This window comes from Homo sapiens, chromosome 1 (genome assembly GCF_000001405.40).
Source record: "Homo sapiens chromosome 1, GRCh38.p14 Primary Assembly".
Classification (NCBI taxonomy): Eukaryota; Metazoa; Chordata; class Mammalia; order Primates; family Hominidae; genus Homo; species Homo sapiens.
The window spans coordinates 2,565,796-2,586,487 of record NC_000001.11 but is presented as its reverse complement, the minus strand read 5'-3'; the positions used below and the strand labels follow the sequence as shown (position 1 = coordinate 2,586,487).

General features: G+C 54.6%; 1 long non-coding RNA gene across 1 annotated transcript, besides 2 other annotated features; it reads right to left on the bottom strand.

The window, feature by feature from the left end:
• Positions 1-1,953: 1,953 nt before the first annotated feature.
• LOC100996583 (uncharacterized) lies at positions 1,954-19,953 on the bottom strand. The gene is made up of 4 exons (NR_121638.1): positions 19,883-19,953; positions 4,838-4,928; positions 2,993-3,118; positions 1,954-2,363 (listed from the first exon to the last, which is right to left on the bottom strand). It is a non-coding gene; the product is annotated as an uncharacterized LOC100996583 (long non-coding RNA).
• Positions 8,322-8,958: an enhancer, noted in NCBI's record as "H3K4me1 hESC enhancer chr1:2508969-2509605 (GRCh37/hg19 assembly coordinates)". NCBI's record gives its function as "activates a minimal SCP1, AML or CMV promoter by ChIP-STARR-seq in naive H9 embryonic stem cells {active_cell/tissue: H9 hESC(naive)}" and the evidence as "EXISTENCE:reporter gene assay evidence [ECO:0000049][PMID:30033119]".
• Positions 18,151-19,023: an enhancer, noted in NCBI's record as "H3K4me1 hESC enhancer chr1:2498904-2499776 (GRCh37/hg19 assembly coordinates)". NCBI's record gives its function as "activates a minimal SCP1, AML or CMV promoter by ChIP-STARR-seq in primed H9 embryonic stem cells {active_cell/tissue: H9 hESC(primed)}" and the evidence as "EXISTENCE:reporter gene assay evidence [ECO:0000049][PMID:30033119]".

Here is a 20,692-nt window from a genome sequence, read left to right as displayed (position 1 = left end):
CCTGGTCCCGCCCCTAGCCCCGCCTCTCCGTTGGGCCGCCGACTTGGACCCCGTCGGCCATTGGCGCAGCAGGCGGAGCTGGGCGGTGCGGCCCTCGGTGCGCGGTGCGCCTGTGCGGAATGCGGCGGGAGGCGGGCAGCCGGCTCGGGGTCGTCCCGGGGGGCGCCGGGGAGCGGCTGGGTACGGTGGGCCCAGGGGTGGTCCAGGGAGCGGCGGGGGTCTCCCTGCGGCCTCGCGCGAGACTGGGCTGGACTCAGGGTTGAGGGGAGAGGGTGAGCGCAGGGGTCGCGGGCATAGGGGACCGCGGGCCGGGGTCTCCCGCGGGGCGGGGGTCCCAGCAGTGGGGGGCGGGGGGGTGCGAGGGCTTAGCCTTTCCACGTGGCCTGGTTTTCGCTTGAAAATCCCCGCAAATGCGGCAGCATCTCAATTATACATGGACGCGATGTCTTTAATCATGAAATACTGTTCATGTCGTGCCGGTTGCATATCAGCTTTTAACCCGCCAAACCTTGGGGCGAAATAGACCCCGGGGAGATAAGCACAGCTCCCAGAAGTGCACTGCGGGTCAGGTGCCTGGCAGATGCGTCCTGTTCCTCCCCCACTGCAGCCCTGTGATAGCTTTTGTCACCGAGTTGGGGTGAGGGCCGGGTCACAGCTTCACCCGGCCTGGGCTCCCACCTGAGCGGGCCCGGCCTGGCAGAGTCTGTGCTGCTGGCACGGGTCCTCACTCCCCAGGCCCCAGGACAGCTCCAGGGGCCTGGGCGGGCTGGAGAAGGAAGGGGGAGCCCCCACACTGTATTCCAAATAAAGAGAGGCCCCGGGGGGGTGCTGCTGCTTCGCCTGTGCCCTCGCCCTGGGGTGGTGAAGGTCCAGACTGCGAAACGGAAGTCGTCACTATGTCAGAAAGGGCAAAAAGCAAAACAAGGAAGGGGAAGCACTAGGAGGGAGGAGCTGTGGCAGCTCCAGAGCCCAGGAGTGCAGCCCCCAGAGACCAGGGCTACCCCTCTACCGTCTCGGGCTGTGCAGGAGGGGCCCTCTACCCTCTGGAGTTGTGCAGGAGGGGGCCCCTCTACCATCTGGGGCTGGGCAGGAAGGGCCCCCCCCCACCGTCTCAGGCTGTGCAGGAGGGGGCCCCTCTACTGTCTCGGGCTGTGCAGGAGGGGGCCCCTCTATCTTCTGGGGCTGTGCAGGAGGGGGCCCCTCCACTGTCTCAGGCTGTGCAGGAGAGGGCCCCTCTGCCGTCTGGGGCTGTGCAAGCAGTGAGCAAGCTGCCGCCTCCTTGGGAGCTGGGATCCCAGACGGGATTCAGCCATTTTCAGAGACGTTCCCAGAAACGAGAATGCGAGATCAATTCCTCGCCTGGCATCTCCCACCAACGCCATCGCTGCAGGAGCCTCACTGGAAGCCAACGGGCAGAGGAGAGTGGGAAAGGAGCTTGCAGCCTCCCAGCTCCAGTGATGCAGAGCAGAAGGTGGCTGGGAGGCTGAGAAGCCATAAGAAAATAGCAGGGCCAGCCCATGTGGCCGCTCAGATACATGCTATGTGTGTGTTTGCATATGTAGGGGCTGAAAAACTCCACCTCCATCCTTTTGAGGTCCTGGCTGGGCCCAAGAGTTAAATCAAGATAAGACAGATCATCATGCCAGTGTATTTGATTAAAGTTGGATGTGGCTCAGGAGCCCTCCTAAGGAAGTGAAGACCCAGTGAAGCAGACTCAGTCGTGTGCTGAGTTGGACAGAGAACAGTGAGGTTTGAGGAAGCAGCTAGATGATGTGGGGGGCTGAAAAGGTGAGAGGCATTTTATCAGGGACTGTACAGCATTTGCTGGGTCTCAGCTTCTCATCCTTGAGGATCAGAGCTTTCTAGTGTAGGGAGAGCATCTTTCACCTGGGAATTTCATCTTCTGCTTTTAAGAAACACAAGAGAGATCAGAATGATCTTTTTGCACCTGTTATTGTTTTAACTGCCTTTAATTCCTAATAGTGACTATGCCAGAGCAGCCTATTTTGGGGTGGCACCTTCTTAACTCTGCATACTGTACATATCTGGCACACATCATTTAAAGTAAATAGACAGGCTTGCTTACTTTTTACTCAAGTGCAACATAATTCAGAAAAGTGCAGACATGCTCAGTAGACAGCTCCTTCTACACGCCTGTTGACTTTCTTTCATCAATGACATATTGGTCGGCTCTTGCTAGGCTGTGTTGCCAAAACAACTCGCAAGCCTGGGTCGATCACAGCAACCAAGTTTCCCCTCCCACTCAGGTTTCTTGTCGGCCACGGGTGGCTCAGCTTCTGATGCCTCCTTCGTTCTGGGGTCCAGGCTGAGCAAGCTGTGGCTCTCTGGAACATGCCGTTCTCCTGACAAGGGAGGACATGGAGGAGAGATGGAGAAACCATGCCACACTCTCCCAGCGGCCATGCACAGCTGGGATGTGTCGCTTGCACTCCCATGTCACTGGCCAGAGCAAGTCACATGGCCAAGGAGGGGCAGGGAAGAGCACTTCCTCCTCCAGGTGGTGCCAGCTCTGGGACTGGGTTTTAGCTTTCCTTACAAAGGAAGAGCTGGCCCGTTACCGCAGCAGGGATGCTGACAGAAGACGTGAAACTCCGGGGTCAGAGACAAAGGACTTTTTCATTCATGGCGTGGCAGGCAGGTGCTCACCTGTGTGTTTGGTCTTATCCCCTTGCCCCCAAATTCCACGGGTGCCATGTGGGTAGGCCTGGGTGGGCACTGCACAGTCAGTAGGTTTGCGTGGCCACTGAGGAGCCCTGCACTGGGGGAGTCAGCTGTTTCTGCAGCAAGCAGTGAGCAAGCTGCTCTTTGTCCCTAGAGGACTCTCAGGGCAAACCACCCTGAGAAATGGGGGAGGGTACTCAGGGCCTGCATTCCTGGCACACCCTGTGAGAGGTGGGGGGCACGAGACACTCGTGGAGGACTGCCCTCTTAACAGGAGAAGCTGCCAGTACCAGAGGCCAAAGAGACTTACCCAGAGATTTCACCGGCATCCCTGGGCTGCCTGGTGCCACATATGTGAAAACAGTCATTTCATGTAAGCTTGTCCACTCAGTAGCATGAAGGTGGGAGGGTGTCTTAGTCATAGATGGGGTGGCTTCTAAAGAACAGAAATTGATTTCTCACATTTCTGGAGGCTGGAGGTCCAAGATCAAAGCGCCGGCATATTCAAGGTCTGGCGAGGACCCCTTCCTGGTTCCTAGATCACTTCTTCATGCTGTGTCCTCACAGGGTGGAAGGCATGAGGGGGCTCTGGGGGGCCTCCTTTTTAAAGGCACTAACTTTGGCCGGGTGTTTTGGCTCACGTCTGTAATCCCAGCACTTTGGGAGGCCGAGGTGGGCGGATCACCTGTAGTCAGGAGTTCGAGACCAGCCTGGCTAACATGGTGAAACCTTATCTCTACTAAAGATACAAAAATTAGCTGGACGTGGTGGAGCATGCCTGTAATCCCAGCTACCCGGGAGGCTGAGGCAGGAGAATCACTTGAACTTGGGAGGCAGAGGTTGCAATGAGCCAAGATCATGCCACTGCCTCCCAGCCTAGGCGACAGAGTGAGACTTCGTCTCAAAATAAAATAAAATACATAAATAAAAGCACTAACCCATTCCCGAGGGCTCCACCCTCACTACCCACCTAAGCACATGCCGAAGCCCCACCTCATAATGTCATCACATTAGGGATTCGGTTTCAGCATATGAACTGGGGGAGGGGGCACAAATGGGGGAAACTGGCTCCACTGTGTGAAAATTGTCAATACTAAGGCAGAGTCACTTATGTCAGGACCCAAGCAAAACGGAGCTGGGAGGCCTCAACGGAAGGTCCCTCATGCTCGGGTGCCTATGATGAGAACTGTTACAGGGACTCCGACAGCACACAACATTCCAGATCAGCTGCTCCTATGAAGACATCTCCCCCGCAACAATCATGTTACCCATGAGTAATCACCAACCCTGCAATAAGCTCCTGTACCCAGGGAGGTTTATTCCAAAACAATCTGTGTAGACTTCCTCTTCCCACCCCTAAAAGAAAGATACACCTACGGTCCCCCTCAGCATGCATATCCCAGATTGCAATCCCCTGCCATCCCCCAGTAAACTTTATTTGGGAGAGCCAGTCTCTCTGTTGTTTATTTTACATTGACAAGTTGCAGCATCGTGGCCAGCAGCAGAAGTCCTACTAGGCTTCTTGAGTCTGTGGGTTGGTATCTTTAATCAGTTTGGGAATTCTTTTATTTTATTTGTTTGTTTGTTTGTTTTGAGATGCAGTTTTGCTCTTGTTGCCCAGGCTGGAGTGCAACGGCTCGATCTCAGCTCGCTGCAACCTCTGCCTCTTGGGTTCAAGCGATTCTCCTGCCTCAGCCTCTGGAGTAGCTGAGATTACGGGTGCCCACCACCCATGCCCAGCTAACTTTTGTATTTTAGTAGAGACAAGGTTTCACCATGTTGGTCAGGCTGGTCTTGAACTCCTGACTTCAGGTGATCCACCCGCCATGGCCTTCCAAAGTGCTGAGATTACAGGCGTGAGCCAGCGTGCCCGGCTGGGAATTCTTTTTTTTTTAACACTATCTTATGATGTCTCATTCTTTCCTTCCTTCCTTCCTCTTATTCTGGGAAGCCCCATACGCATATATTAGATCTTTTAACTAATGCGTCTTGTTGAGTCGGAGTCACATAAGTCTCCTGTTCTCTGTTGTGCTTTTCTTTCCCACGGGTATTTCAGTGGCTGTTTGCACCGTTTCTGTTGCCCTGTCTCTGTCTCCCCTCCATGGTCCACCTGCCACGGGGTCCAGTCTGCCATCACCCGTCTCATGACACTGACCTGCAGCCCTGGGATGTCCATTTGGTTCTCTCGTTTAGGTTCCAATCAGCTGTGGAATTCTCCATCCAGAGATCCCGTTAGACGGCATTTCCTGTTTTTAGTAACACATGAATGAGTTATTTTAAAATACCTGTCTACTGACACTCACATCTGAGGTTCTGCTTCTGTTGCCTCTGTTTTCTTTTCTTTTCTTTCTTTTTTTTTTTTTTTTTTTTTTTGAGACGGATTCTTGCTCTGTCGCCTAGGCTGGAGTGCAGTGGCACAGTATCAGCTCACTGCAACCTCCACCTCCCGGGTTCAAGCGATTCTCCTGCCTCAGCCTCCCAAGTAGGACTACAAGCGCGCACCACCACACCTGGCTAATTTTTGTATTTTTAGTAGAGACGGGGTTTCACCATGTTGGCCAGGCTGGTGTTGAACTCCTGACCTCAGGTGATCCACCCACCACGGCCTCCTAAAGTGCTGGGATTATAGGCATGAGCCACCACACCTGGCCAGCCTCTCTTTTCTTTTGATAATGGCACACACCTTCCTGCCTCTTCTCGTGTTTACATCTCTGTTCTAGCCCTGGGCCCTGCAAACCTTAGGGGAGGTGTGCCCAGTACACAAACACACGTGTGTGCACAAAGATAGGTCACTGTCAGGGCGTGGGGAGATCGCAGGACCTGCATCAGACCAGGGCTTATTCAGATGCTGGCTCTGGCACCGCCCAGCTGGGTCACTGTGGGTAAGTCACCACCTTGTCTAAGCCTCAGTTTCTTCATCTGTAAAACAAACCCTGGTAACCACCTTTGCCAACCGCACGCTCAGTTATCAGCCACTCTGGCCGGCTCGCCTTGCTTCTGAGCAGCAGGAATCGCAGCCCCACTGTGGCTGAGAGGATGCTGGAGCGCTCCAGCTCCATCCCAAATGGCCCCTGGCCCCTGCCATCCTGCCCATCCCCCTCCAGCAAAGCCCAGGATGTCCCTATGAGAAGCCTCACAGACTCAACCAGGTGGGCAGGCTGCAGAGGACCCCTGGGAAAGAGCAGCTGTGTTTCCCCAAGTCCCACCCTATATACACCAAAGATGGGATTTGATCAACTTTCTTTCTTTTATTATTATTATTATTATTATTTTTGAGGCAGGATCTGGCTCTGTCACCCGGGCTGAAGAGCAGTGGTGCAATCTCAGCTAACTGCAACCTCTGCCACCGAGGCTCAAGTGATCCTCTCACCTCAGCCTCCCAAGTAGCTGGGACTACAGGTTCCGCCTGGCTAATTTTTGTATTTTTAGTAGAGATGAGGTTTCATCATGTTGGCCAAGCTGGTCTTGAAGTCCTGACTTCAAGCAATCCACCTGCCTCGACCTCCCAAAGTGCTGGGATTACAAGCTGAGCCACCGTGCCCAGCCTCAAAACTATTTTGTAATTGTGATAAGATATACATGACATAAAATTCACCACGCGGAGCATTTTAAGATCAGTTCAGTGGCATTAGGTACATCCACATTGTTGCAGCCATCACCACCATCCATCTCCAGAATTTGTTGACAATCCTAAACTGGAACCCTCACCTATGAAACACTAACTGCCTCCCCCAGCCCCTGGCACCCACTGCTCTACTTCCTCTCTATAAATTTGACAATTGTAGGCTCCTCATAGAAGTGGCATCATAATGGCCTTTGTCTTCTATAAATGGCTTATGGCACGTGGCATAAATTCCTCAACATCCATCCATAGCACAGCCTGTGTTCGATCTCCTTTCCAAGGCTGAGCACCTTCCACTGGACCTCTCGGCCACATTTTCCTTATTCTTGTACCTGTTGATGGGCTTTTGCGTGGCGTCTACATTCGAGCTCTTGTGGACACTGCGGCTGTGAACCTGGGTGTGCAAATATGTGCTCAAGTCCCTGTTTTCAGTCCTTTGGGATCTATACCCAGAAGCGGAGTGGCTGGATCACATGGTCATTGTAGTTTTAATTGTTAGAGGAACTGCCCTAATGGTTTCCACAACATCTGCACCATGTCCCATTCCCGCCAGCAGTGCACGGGAATTCTAATTTCTCCCCTTCCTCAGCAACAATTATTCCTCTCCAGGCCGGGCACGGTGGCTCATGCCTGTAATCTCAGCACTTTGGGAGGCCAAAGTGCGTGGATCACCTGAGGTCAGGAGTTCAAGACCAGCCTGGCCAACATGGTGAAACCCCGTCTCTACTAAAAATACAAAATTAGCGGGGCATGGTGGCAGGTGCCTGTAGTCCCAGCTACTCGGGAGGCTGAGGCAAGAGAATGCCTTGAACCCGGGAGGCAGAGGTTGCAATGAGCCAAGATCTCGCCACTGCACTCCAGCCTGGGCGACAGAGCAGGACTCTGTCTCAAAAAAAAAAAAAAAAAAAAAAAATCTTATTCTCTGTATTGGGGGCTTTAAAAGAAGCCGTCCATCCCGCTGGGCCTGAGGTGGTCTCCCCGTTGTTCTGATTTGCGTTTCCCATTTCCCAAATGCTTGGTGGCACCGAGCCTTGTTTCAGGGGCATGGTGGCCATTTGTGTGTCTTCTCTATTCTAGTCCTTTTCCATTTTTTCACCCAGTGGTTTGTTTTTGATGTTGTTGGGGTGTGAGGGTTCTTTACAAATTCTAGACGGAATGCCTTATCTGATACATTTCCTCCCAGTCCATGTGTTGCCTTTCATTCTATTCATTCTTGTTTGTAAAGCCCCATGTATCTATTTTACACGTTTCTGCCTGTCCTTTTCCTGTCATACCCAAGAAATCAAGAAATCACTACCAAGTCTAACATCAAGAGGCTTGTGTTTTCCTTTGAGGGTTTTAGAGTGTTTTGTTTGTTTGTTTGTTTGTTTTGAGACGGAGTCTGGCTCTGTCGCCCAGGCTGGAGTGCAGTGTTAGCCAGGATGGTCTCTATCTCCTGACCTCGTGATCCACCCGCCTCGGCCTCCCAAAGTGCTGGGATTACAGGCGAGGGTTTTAGAGTTTTAGGTCATAATTTAAAACAAGCCCCAGCTCCAGCAGAGTGGAGCTGCCGCCAGGGGTCACAGCCCAGCGTCTCAAACGCAGTGGTGCACAGACTAGGGAAGGCCCAGGCCTGGGTGGGTCTTTCCGCAGGATCCTGGAATGTTGCTTAGGGGAGGCTGAGACCAGACTGGCAGTCACCTGTCTGGGAAAGCACCAGGCCCTGCGGAAGTCCCCATGGTGACAGTCACGTCCTGGCCATGTGGGCGGGTGTGGGGGAGGGACCGCAGGGAGGCGGAAGTCCTTGTTTTTTCCTGCAGTGGGCACGGGCAGGAGCTGAGCAGCCCGAAGCCATGAGTCGCTGTCACTGCTCTTTCTGTGCCTGGTGCAGCCCCAGCTCATGGGGTCTGGGCCACCTCTGATCCCATGCCCCCCACTTCACACTCGGGGTTCTGGCTTCCCTGCTGTGAGCCTGTCTCTCCTCCGTGGGACAGGCCAGCCTGGGCAGCCATCCCAGTGCTCACTGCCCAGCATATAGTGGGTGCCTCATAAATGTGGGCTGAACAGAGCCTGCCCCGGGCCCCCTGACTTCCAGACATAAAGTAGGTGCTTCATAAATGCAGGCCAAACAGAACCTACCCTGGGGGCCTCCACTTCCCTTTGATGGGGGCAGAGACCCTCTGCCGGGCAGCGGCCACCCAGTGCCTGGGACAGGTGCCCCTTTCTCCCACCCTGGCCTATCTCGGGGCATCTGAGGGAGGACGGGGCTGTGCCCCCCACTTCACCCTCGAGGGTCTGGCTTCCCCACCTGTGAGCTTGTCTCTCCTCCGTGGGAGGAGCCGCACCGTCGTTTTCACTTTCCATGATGACCGTTGAGTGAGAGAAGATGACGGCAGCTCCTGCGTTTAAAAAGGAACCATCCGCGTAACTGCCGCAGGCAGGGCCCGTGCTCGGGCAGTGAGGCCTCGGCCCTGAGAAGGCCCGGACCCCACAGGCCTGGCCCTGGCTGAGAGGGAGTTGGAGTCCCCCGCCTGGGGCAGCCCCTCTGCACCTGGGGTGGTGGAGCAGGAGCTTGGCTGCAGGCGGGGCTTTCCTCCCAGCTCTGGGAGCCACCTTGCTGCAAACGCTGTGACTTCCGAGAGCCTCCGTCTCTGTTTGACACTGTTAATCCTTTAGGTGACTTTTTTTTTTTTTAGATGGAGTTTTGCTCATCGCCCAGTCTGGAGTGCAATGGCGCGGTCTCAGCTCACTGCAACCTCTGCCTCCCAGGTTCAAGTGATTCTCCTGCCTCAGTCTCCCAAGTAGCTGGGATTACAGGTGCCCAACACCACGCCCAGTTAATTTTTGTATTTTTCGTAGAGATGGGGTTTCACCATGTTACTCAGGATGGTCTCAAACTCCTGATCTCAGATGATCCGCACGCCTCCACCTCCCAAAGTGCTGGGATTACAGGCGTGAGCCACCATGCCTGGCCTAGGTGACTTTTCATGGTGAGATAACACACAGGCATGGTGAGCAGCATGGCAGAGGACCTGTGTGCAGGGCCCTGTCTCCCGCCGGGGAATCCTTCATCTGGGAAATCTCCGCTGCGGGACAGGGATGCTGTGTCGTCAGGACGCAGCGTCTCTCCAGGGCACCCGGGCCTCCTCTGAGCCTCTTTGCGCTCTTTGGCTGCGTGCTTTCTTCCCTGTGGCAAAAGGTACATGACGTTTTATTGACCATTTCAGCCATTGGCAAGTGTGCAAATCAGTGGCTTTAGTCCATTCGCAATGCAGCTGGACCCCACCCTTTCCTGATTCCCGCAGGCCAGGGCTGAGGGCGGGGAGGGGCCTGTGCAGCAGCCTGAGACCGGCTGTCCAATGGCAGAGCTTCCTTCTGGGAAACCATGGGTCCCCTGGGGCCCCATGCTGGAACCCCAGCAATGGTGGTTCACGTGTCTCTCCATCTCACTTCCCGTGCAAAAGCGACACAGGCGGGTACAAACCCAAACAGTGCAGACATGGAGGAGACAGAAAAGTGAAAATGGTTTCTGAGCCCCTCCAGCCGCCCTCTGGGCACACCAGCCTGGAGTTCTTCAGACACAAGCACTCCCTGCAGCCAGCGTAGTTGGTGCTCACTGGAGGGCTGGCCAGGCCTGGGAGCTGATCCTCTCAGCAAAGTTCAGCCCCAGGGATGAGCTCAGCCGGAGAAGGAGACCTCTTTGCCTCTGGGGCTGCTGCCCTGGTGGAGCCACGCCGGGAACCCGAATTCCAGCCGAGACAGTTCTGGACCCAATTGTGTCTCCCCTGATTTTCTGTGTGGAGACTTAAGCCCCAGTGATGCTGCATTTGGAGGTGGACTTGTAGGGAGGGAGAGACACCAAGCGCCCTCTCTCTGCCCTGGCCAAGGGGAAGGCCGGGTGAGGACATAATGAGAAGGTCCCTTCTGCAAGCCAGGAAGAGACGCTGCCTGGAACCAACCCTGCCTGCGCTGGCTCCGGGACCTCTCGCCACCAGGACTGTGGGAAAATGCTGCCCATGGCTTCAGCCACTCAGTCTGTGGGACTTTGTCCTGACCAGTTGAACAGATTAACACAGCCTAAAAAAGTGTACACATGTGGGCAAACATACATACACAGAGAAGCAAACAGTGCTCGGGGGAGGGGACACCAGACCTTGAGGAAGTGAACCCAGGGCAGGGCTGGGCCGGGAGTGGCTGGGGTGGGGAGACCTGGGTTTGCCGGAGCCCGCGGTGGAGCAGGTGGAATGCGACCTCCTCAGAGCCTGTGACTATCAGGGAAGGAGCGGCCCAAGGAGGCCCGAGCAGTCTGCCAGGGGCAGGGCCCCTATGGGTGTCAACATCTTCTGAGAGTTGGGCACAGCCTGGACTTTTCCCAGGGTGGGGCCGGACCTCCCAGGGGCTTCGGGGCTGGGCCAAGACTCCTGGATTCATCAGGCTGCAGCCACACTGGGGTTGTGGGCCACGGGTCTGTTCCGTGCAGACGGACCCAAGGGATGGACAGACATAGGACAGCCTGGTACCAATTCCCACTTGGAAACATCACCTGCTTCAGGGTCCGTATGACGTCCAATAAAGTACACCCGCTGTGAGCCTGTGAGCCTTGAGTCTGGCAAGTGCCTGCCCTCACATAACCACCATCACTTTTGTGATGAAGACATTTCCAAGAAAGTTCCCTTGTTGAGCTTCTATGGACTGAATGACGTTTCCCCCAATTCACAGGTCTAAGCCCTACACCCCAGTGTGACTATGTTTGGAAATGGGGCCCTCAAAGAACTGATTAAGGTGAAGAGACGTAATGATGGCCAGCACTACACAGGAGGAATGGTGTCCTTATAGGAAGAAGAGGCGCCAGTGTCCTGGGGGCAGAGGGACCACCCTGTGAGGACATAGGGAGCAGGTACCATCTGCAGGCCCAGGAGGGAACCAACCCCACCTGCCCCTGCATCTTGGACTTCCAGCCCCCAGAACCATGACAACATTGCGTTTCCATTTCTTGAGCCCCCAAGTCTGTGGCCCTTTGCTTTGTTTTGACACCCCAGCAACATGAGCCCCTTCCCAACCCCTCCCCAGCCCTGGCCACATCATCCTTGACCTCTCTCTCCCAGCAGGTTAGATCTGCCTGTCCCAGAATTTCACCTGAATCACAAAGCGTGGCGCCTCGGGGCCTGGCTCCCTTCACGTGGCCTGATGTCTGCATATTCATCCGCCGTGCAGTGTGTGTCCACGGTTCATTTTGTGTTGCCACGTAGCATCTCATTGTGTGGCCCTAGCCCAGTGTGTTAATCCGTTCACCTGCTGGTGGGTGTTGCAGTGGTTTCCAGCTCTTGGTTATCACCGAGAAAGTGACTGTGAACTTTCGCACACACGTTTTGCTGAGGACAACTCCTTCCATTTCACTTGGTTACTAGGAGTGGAGTTGCTGGGTCCTAGGGAAGGTGTGTGTTTCTCTCTAAAAGAATTTGCCAAACCGATGTCCAAAGCTGTACCATTTCAGGCTCCTGCCAGCAGCACGTGGGAGCTCTAATTACCCCATGTCCTTCCCACACTTGGTATGGTCAGAACTTTTCCTCTCCATCACCGTGACGGGTGTGGAGTGGAATCTCACAGTGGTTTAACGTCATTTCCCGAATGACTGTGCATGCTGACCACCCTTTCATGGCTTTGGTGAAGTTCAAATCTTGCCCATTAAAAAACAATAGTGCTGTTTGTCCTCGTATTGACTTGTAAGAATTTTCTCAGAGTGTTGGAATTGTCACCCAATGCGTGGTTTGCCTTTTCATTTCCTGGAAAGCATACTTCCAAGAGCAGGAGTTGCTAATGTCAATAAGTCCCAATTTCAAACATTTTCTCTCGTAGCTCTTGTGTTCTGCGTCCTGTCTAAGAAATCTTTGCCCACGTCCAGGTCACAGATATTTTCTCCAATGTTTTTCGCAGGAAGTCTTATAGTTTGAGCTTTACATTCAAGCCTATCGTTCGTTTCAAGCTAATTTTTTGTGTCGTGTAGGTAAAGATTAAGGCCATTGTCCCCTGTCATTTATCCAGTATTCCAGAAATTGTTTGCCAAAAAGACTACCTTCTTCACATTGCATTACCTTGACACCTCTGTCAGAAATGCTTGCATCATCTGTGAATGGGTCTCTCTCTGGCCGCTCCTGTTTCATTGACCTATTGGCACGCCTCATGCCCGCCCCACTCTCTCTCAATGGCTGAAGCTCTACAGTAAGTCTTTAAGTCAGGAAATGAAAATACTCCAACTTCGCTCTTCCTTTTCACTATTATTTCGGCTGGTAAATGTCCTGTCTGTTTTCATATACATGTTTAGAATCAGTTTCTCGATTTCGACGACCAAGCCTGCTGGAATGTTGACTGGGATTGCATTGGTCCATTTGGGGGACAATGGGTATTTTCCTCATACTTGGTCTTCTGATGTATCCACATGCCATGCCTTTCCAGTTATTAGAACTTCTTTCACTTCTCTCGACAACGTTTTCACTGGCCTTGCGGGTATTTTGTTAAATTTCCCCTAAGCATTTCCTGTTTTTTGATGCAAATATGTTCTTGTTTCCCTTATACTTCAAATTCCAATGTTTAGTTTTTAAAATATTGGCCTTGCATCTTGTGACCTTGATAATAAAGTGACTAGTTCTCACAGGCATTTTGTCGATTTCTTAGGACTTTTATACACATGAGCACATTCTCTGCAAAGAGGCAATGTCTTTTTCCCCCTTTGTGTCCAATCTCTATGCCTTCCATTTCTTTTTCTTGTCTTATTGCACTGGCTAGGACCTCCAGTACCATGTTGAGTGCAGGTGGTAGGATGGGAGTCCTTGCCTGGCTCCTGACCTTTAGAAAGACACATCCTGTCTCACCTGCAGACTTGAGGCATGGGGCGACTCTGCATGCCATCTCCTGGGCTCAGCTTCTGCACCACTCCCTGGTCTCTGCAGCTCTGTCTTGTAATTTCCAGCTGCAATCCTTTTGCTTTTACCCAGCCCATTTCTCTTTTGTGTGTGTGTGTCTTTTTTTCCCCTTTTTCTGCAGAAGAGGGTCTCTCTATATTGCCCAGGCAGGTCTTGAACTCCTGGGCTCAAGCTGTCCTCCCACCTCTGCCTCCCTAAGTGCTGGGATTACAGGCATGAGCCACCGCACCTGGCTTAACCAGCCCATTTCTTAAAATGTAAAGTGGGTTTCTTGTAGTCAGCCTTTAGTTGGCTGTTGGTTTTGTATCTGATATGGCCATTTCTGTATTTAATTGGACTATTTAGGCCATTTATATTCAAAGTCATTACCTATACAGCTGGATGTGGGCACACCATCTTTCTATTATTTGCTGTTTCATATTTCTGATTTCCCGTTGTCCTACCTTCTGTTTGATTATTTCTGTAGTATTTCATTTCATCCCCATGGTTGCCTTCTTAGTGATACATCTTTGTTTTCCTTATTTAGTGGTTATTGAAGGGTTTGTGACATCCATCTGCACTTATCACAGCCTATATTCAGGTTGTGTGACCACTAAACATGCCTGCACCTTCCCACGCAGCGGGAAATGCAGAAGAATCTCACCAGCACACACTTGCCTTTCCCTTTCATAACTTATACTACTGTCATAGGTTTTAATTGTATATGCTTTAAATGTCACAATGCATCACTAACATATTTGCGTTAAGCATTTTATTATTTTTGAAGATATTTAAAAATGAGAAAAAAATTTCCTCCCACATTTGCCATTTCTTTCATCCATAATTCCTTTGAGCAGATTTCAATTTCCACATGAGGCCAGGCAAGGTGGCTCACGCCTGTAATCCCAGCACTCTGGAAGGCCAAGGTGGGCGGATCACCTGAGGTCAGGAATTCGAGACCAGCCTGGCCAACATGGTGAAACCCCATCTCTACTAAAAATACAAAAATTAGCCAGGCATGGTGGTGCACACCTGTAATCACAGCTACATGGGAGGCTGACGGAGGAGAATCCCTTGAACCCAGGAGGCAGACGTTGCAGTGAGCCAAGATGGCACCACTGCACTCCAGCTTGGAGAAAGAGTGAGACTCCATCTCAAAAAAAAAAAAAGAAACAATTTCCCTATGAAAAAACTTCCTTGTGCTTGAAGAAAGTCCTTGGATGTTTCTTGTCATGCAAATCTGTCTGCTGCTGAGAAATTCTCTCAGCTGTCAGTATGTCCTCAGTCTTTGATTTGCTTTCATATATATATTTGAGATAGGGTCTCACTCTGTCACCCAGGCTGGAGTGCAGTGGTGGGAGCTTGGCTCACTGCAACCCCTGCATCCCAGGTTCAAGCGATTCTCATGCCTCAGCCTCCAGAGTAGCTGGGACTATAGGCATGTGCCACCATGCCTGGATAATTTTTGTATTTTTAGCTGAGATGGGATTTCACCATGTTGGCCAGGCTGATCTCAAACTCCTGACTTCAAGTTATCCGCCCGCCTCAGTCCCCTAGACTGGGCCCAGCCTCCAGTTCATTTATTTTTGTAGCTTAATAGACAAGGTCTTGCTCTGTTGCCAGAGCTGGCCTTGAATCCTGGGGCTCAAGTGATCCTCCTGCCTCGGCCTCCGAGTTGCTGGGTCCACAGGCGGAGGCCACCGAGCGTGGTCTATTTTTGACAGACAGATTCACTGGGTTTGGAGTTCAAAGGTGAAATGTTCTTTCAGCATTGTAAAAATGTTTTGCTCACCTTCTGACCTGAACTGTTCCTGGGGACAAGTCCGCACGGCCCTTATCTTTGCGTCTTTGTACCCAAAGGTGGCCTCACCTGACCCCGGTGTCCAGGTCCCCTCTGTGTCCCTGGTTCCTGGGCATTGATTAGGATTTGCTGTGCAGTGCATGCCTCTCTATTTACCCCTCTTGGGGTCTGTTGAGCTTTCTGCATTTGTGGGATCACAGTTTTCTTGTAGTTTAGAAAACTTTCACTGCTTTTTCTTCAAATGATTTTCTGTTCCTGCCTCTTTCTGTTTCTCTGAGACTCTAACTGCACTTCTGTTAGGCAGCTCGATATTTTCCAGGAGATCTTTGAGAATACGTTCATTTATTCATTTTCTGTGTGTTTTTCATTTGGGGTAGATTCTGATAGTATATCTTCAAGTTCACTGGTGTTTCCTTTTGAGCTGTCTAATCTGTTGTTAATCCTCCTGTTTTTGTTTTTGTTTTGAGGCAGGGCCTCCTCTGTCGGCCAGGCTGGAGTGCAGTGGTGTGATCATGGCTCTCTGCAGCCGTGACCTCCGGGGCTCACGGGCTCAACTGATCCTCCCTCCTCAGCCTCCCAAGTAAGTGGGACTCCAGGTGTGCGCCACCAGGCCTGGCTAATTTTTGTCTTTTTTGGAGAGATGAGGTTTTGCCTGTGCACAGGCTGGTCTGGAACTCCTGGGCAGATCCTCTTGCCTCAGTCTCCCAAAGTGCTGGGATTACAGGTGTGAGCCACCACACCTGGCCTAATCCTACTGTTATTGGCTGAACAGGATCCCTCCAGAATTCACGCTAAGAATGGGATGGGATGAAGAGATTGGACTGTAAAGAGGTGACTGGCTGAATGAGGCCATATGGGTGGGCCCTGATCCAGAATGACTGGAGTCCTCCTCAGACGAGGAAGTTTGGACAGAGACACGTCAGGGAAGTGCACACACAGAGAAGCGACTGCGTGAGGACACACGGAAAGATGCCATCTGCAGACCACAGCCGAGCTCCCAGGGAGCGAAACCTGCTGCCACCCTCACGCCAGCTTCCAGCCTCCAGGCCTGAGACAGCATTTCCGTCGGGGAAGCCAGCTAGACCGCGGCGTCCTGTGACAGCCGCCCAGGGGGACTGGTGTGCCTACAAGGACGTTATTCATTTCAGACCTGGCTCTTTGTTTTGTCCTCCGTTTCTCACACCAGGCTTACATTTTCCTTTAGAGGACGTTGTGATTGTCATTTCAGGGTCCACGCCTGACAATTCCACTGTGGCTGCCCTTCTGGGCCTGTTGCTACTGACCCACATTCCCATGGTTACTCTTCCCTGCATCTGGACGTAGCAGCAATTTCTCATTGGATGTGGACATTGTGCTGTGACGGCTTTGATCACCTGGCATTTTTGTTGGGTTGTTTTGGGCCTTCCTTTAAAGGACGCTGCGCTGTGTTCTGCGTGGAGTTCAGCTCCTTGCTCTTCACTTTGGTCTTCGTGTGGCTGGTTCTGAAGCCTCTTAGAGCAGGTCCAGCCCAGCCTTTCCTGCAGGAAGAGTCCAGCCCCACTCCCAGGACGGGCCCTGCTGGGTGGCTGCCGACAGCCCAGGATCCTCCAGGACTCTCCCCCTGGCGGTCGGAACTCCTGTCTCCCACCTGTGAGTCCCAGGGGCCGGGGGTCCACAGCCCCCTAGGGTCCCACCCATGCTGAAAGTCCACCTTCCACATGCATGGCGCCCGACTCCGGAGGCCTCAGAGACCCTCAGGCAGCCTTCTGGAGCTTTCTGTCTGTGCAGTTCCCTCCTTTCCGGAGCTCTGCCTGCCAGGTCCCTCTGCGGATGCCTCCCTGAGCCCTGACCTCCTTCTCCTCAGCCCGCCAGGACTGCTGGACCTGCCTGGATGCCCGCCCCTGCTCGGCCATCCTCAATGGGCCTCCACCCCAGGGCTGGGGTGACCCGGGCTGAAAACAGTTCATCCTGAGTTTCAGTCTCGAGCTTTCGTGGCAGGAGGGAAACTGCTGGCTGTGTTACTCCACGGCGGCTGGAACGGACGGGACCAGCTCCCTTCAGAGGGGCACTTCGGTTGGTTCTAGAATTCTCCTTTGCTGTGAAAGCTGCCAGGCACATTCTACACTGGCCACCCTCCACCTCAAATGTGCGTTTATCAATGAAACGCCCTAATAGGACCTCCTGGATCAAAACACTGAGTATTGTCCTGCAACCTGCCTCTCAGAAGGCCGTGCCCTCCCGCCTGGGATCCTGCTGCTTCTCCGCCGGCCACCCCGCACACGCTCCGCTGCCTCTCTGGGCCGGCTCAGCCATTTCACGTTCCTGTGTGTGCACTGAGACATCCACCCTGGCACGCTTCTTCCCCTCAGCACGTGGTCCCCACGCTGTGCCTGCCCAGCTCGGAGCCCAGAGGCCCCCGCAGCTCCCCACAACTTCATGGTGCAGTGACCTGAGGCCTCCCCTGGCTCAGTCCCTTTCCCAGGGTCAGGGGTCCATGTATTGAACCAAGACGGGAGGTGCCTTCCCCCTGAGCTCTGTCCCTGCTGAACCTGGAAGGCAGCGCCCAGTGGCGGCTCAGACCCCCAGAGCCTCTTCTGAGGTCCGACACTCCTCTGCTCCCCCCAGGGAGACCCCCTGGCCTGGCCCCCAGCTCTCGGTGCCTCGGTTTCCTCACCTGGAAGGTGGGGATGTTGAAGGTGCCTGGCCTGTGGCTGTGCACTAAGCTAGGGTGACTGTGAGCTTCCAGAGCTCGAATGTCTGGAAGGAAGGGCGCGAGCTGGGTGCGTGTGAGTGTCCTGATCATGGACACAGAGCGTGGGGCCCCTTGGAGGGCTGGAACCCAGGTGGGGGATGCCCGGGTGGTGGGACAGAGTGGGGCTGGAGGAGAGGGTCTGAGGAATGTTCCGGCCACAGACACCCCAAGCCCATGGGAGGTCAGGAGTTGGTCACAAGGAAGGTGAGGTGGGGAACAGAGCTGGGGCCCAGGGTCCTGATTTGGGGTGAGAGGTGACGCCATCCCCGAGGCAGAAAGACGGCCAGGGGAGGGGAGGAGGTGGGGAAAGCAGACGGACGGGGAGGCGGGGGGAGCCCAGGGCCAGGAGTGTCAGGGGCAGGCACTTGAGACAGAGGCACCCTGAGGTTTCCCAGCAGGCAATTGATACCCTGGCCTGCAGCGGGGAGGAACCGGGGCTGGGCTGGAGGCCTGGGGACGCCTGGGGCTGCCCCAATTCCCAGCAGACACCTCACCCTCTGGGAAGCCCCAGCTGCCCCAGATCCCTCCCACAATGCTCTGACCACCCCCAACCCCCAAGTCCTCTCCCTTCTGTCCCCAAGCCCGAGGCCTTGGAGCTGCCCCCGCCCTGGGCCATGAGAGCTGGACACAGAGCCCTCCAAGTTCCACGGGCCTCCTGCACCGCCGCCTGCTCCGCCCTCCTGCCCTCCCCCTCGGCCTCCCCTGTGAGGGCTGCCCACCTAGGTGACCCCGGAGCCGCCTCCTCACGCCTCCATCTGCTCTGCACACCGTCCACTAGCCTGACAGCTGCCCAAAGCCTCCAGAGCACAGAACGGGCCTGGTGTCTGCGCCTCCGTCTCGGGGTGGGCCACGGCCGGTTCTGTGTCCCGTCCCCTCCCCGCTCACCAGCGGTGGACCCCAGCTTCCCTCTGCAGCAGCACTCAACTCATGCACTTTCTTGCAGACGCGCAGCCCACCTCGCCCCCGCAGGTTCCTCTTCATTCAGAGCCCCCCATGGCCTGGGCAGTCCATCCTGAGTGTCCGCACCACACGACTGTAGACGTTTGGCTTCTGGACTCAAATCCTTCACCAGATCGTGACCAGGAGGGCAATGGCCAGGCCTCGGCCTCAGCCCCCTGCCTGGCCTGCACTGGCACAGAGCAGGGGAGGTGCAGGCCGACCTTGAAGGCGCAGGAGTGGAGGGGGAGCCCTTAACTGGGCCCCGGACCCTGCCCTCCATCCCTTAGGGTGTGGCTCCAGCCCTCGGGTACCCACAGCCGCTGTCCCATCCTCTGTGCCCAGGGGCTCCCATCAACAGAAAAGGGAAGCATCTTTGGGGGTTTCTGGACAGTCCCCTGGAGACGGCCCTGCCGGGAGGTTGGGGTGTGGGGCTGACCCTGTGGGGATCCATGGAGACCCAGGTCGGGGCTGTGTGGAGGGCCTCACGGAGGGCAGTGGGGTGATGCGGTGCTGGACTCTTGGGGGCCTGGGGCTCCTCAGCTGTTGCAGAGTGATGGGGGGAGGCCCAGCCTGGGGGTGAGGGTCTGTGTTTTGTGCCCGTGACACTGACCAGTCTCAGCCTCAGTTTCCCCATCTGCCCCGGGGGGAGGTGTGCCCAGAATGCCCTCTAAATCCCCTGCCTGAAGCCGGGTGTGGTGGCTCACGCCTGTAATCCCAGCACCTTGGGAGGCTGAGGTGGGTGGATCACGAGATCAGGAGTTCTAACCCAGCCTGGCCAAGATGGTGAAACCCCGTCTATACTAAAAATACAAAAATTAGCCAGGCGCAGTTATAGGCGCCTGTAATCCCAGCTACTCAGGCAGCTGAGGCAGGAGAATCGCTTGAACCCGGGAGGCGGAGGTTGCAGTGAGCCGAGATGGTGCCACTGCACTCTAGTCTGGGTGACAGAGCGAGACTCCGTCTCAAAATAAATAAATAAATAAATAAATAAATAAATAAATAAATAAATCCGCGGCCTGGCCCCTGGCCCTGAGTTCGTGGGGAGGGCATCGCCCAGTGGGATCCTGGGGTCTCTGGGCTCAGGCCCTGGCTGTGACAGGAGTGGGGAGGGGCCCTGTGTCCCTGGGCCCAGGTCATGGGGGTGTAGGGAGGAGAGGCCGTGGGCCACCAGGGACCATTGTGTCTGGGGAGTCCCCTTGACAGGAGGCGCGGGGCTGGGGGGTGCTCACCTGCCTCTCTCTCCCTGTTGGTTCTGGTGGGCCCTGGGATGGGGGCGGTGATATCCTGTGGGCAACCGGGTCGGTGGGGACCGCTGGGGGCTGGAGAGGGCCCCGTCTCCCGCCTCCTTGGGCTGCCTCATTCCCTCCCTGATGACCCTGGTTTGCTGCACAAGGCCTGGCGGTGCTGGTGCTGGGACAGCCCACACTGAATGGATTGAATGGATGAAGGAGTGAGTGCTGTACTTAGCCGGGGGCGCTAGGCGCTGCGTCGGGAGCCTGGGACATTTCCTCCTGCTGCCTGGGAGGTAACACCCTGGACTGCTGGAGTCTGCATTCCAGGAGAGCGGGCAGACCACAGAAAAGGGAGAAAAGGGGTGGAGGGTCAAGGCGGGCGGACACAGGGAACAGGGAGCGGGGACAGGGCTTACTCAGCAATCAGAGAAGACCTCACGGAGGAGGTGAGGTGTTTAGGTGGTTGGTGAAGGCGGAAGCCCCAGGAATGGGTTAGTGCCCTTAAAAAAGAGACCTAGAAGGCTCCCTCACCCCGACCACTGTGTCAAGACACAATGAGGAGCCATCTAGGAACCAGGAAGAGACCCTCACCAGACCCCGAATCTACCGGCACCTTGATCTTGGACCTCCAGCCTCCAGAAATGTGAGAAATAAATTCCTGTTCTTTTATTTTTTGAGATGGAGTCTCGCTCACTTGCCCAGGCTGGAATGCAGTGGTGGGATCTCAGCTCACTGCAACCTCTGCCTCCTGGGTTCTAGCGATTCTCCTGCCTCAGCCTCCCGAGTAGCTGGGATTACAGGCACCCG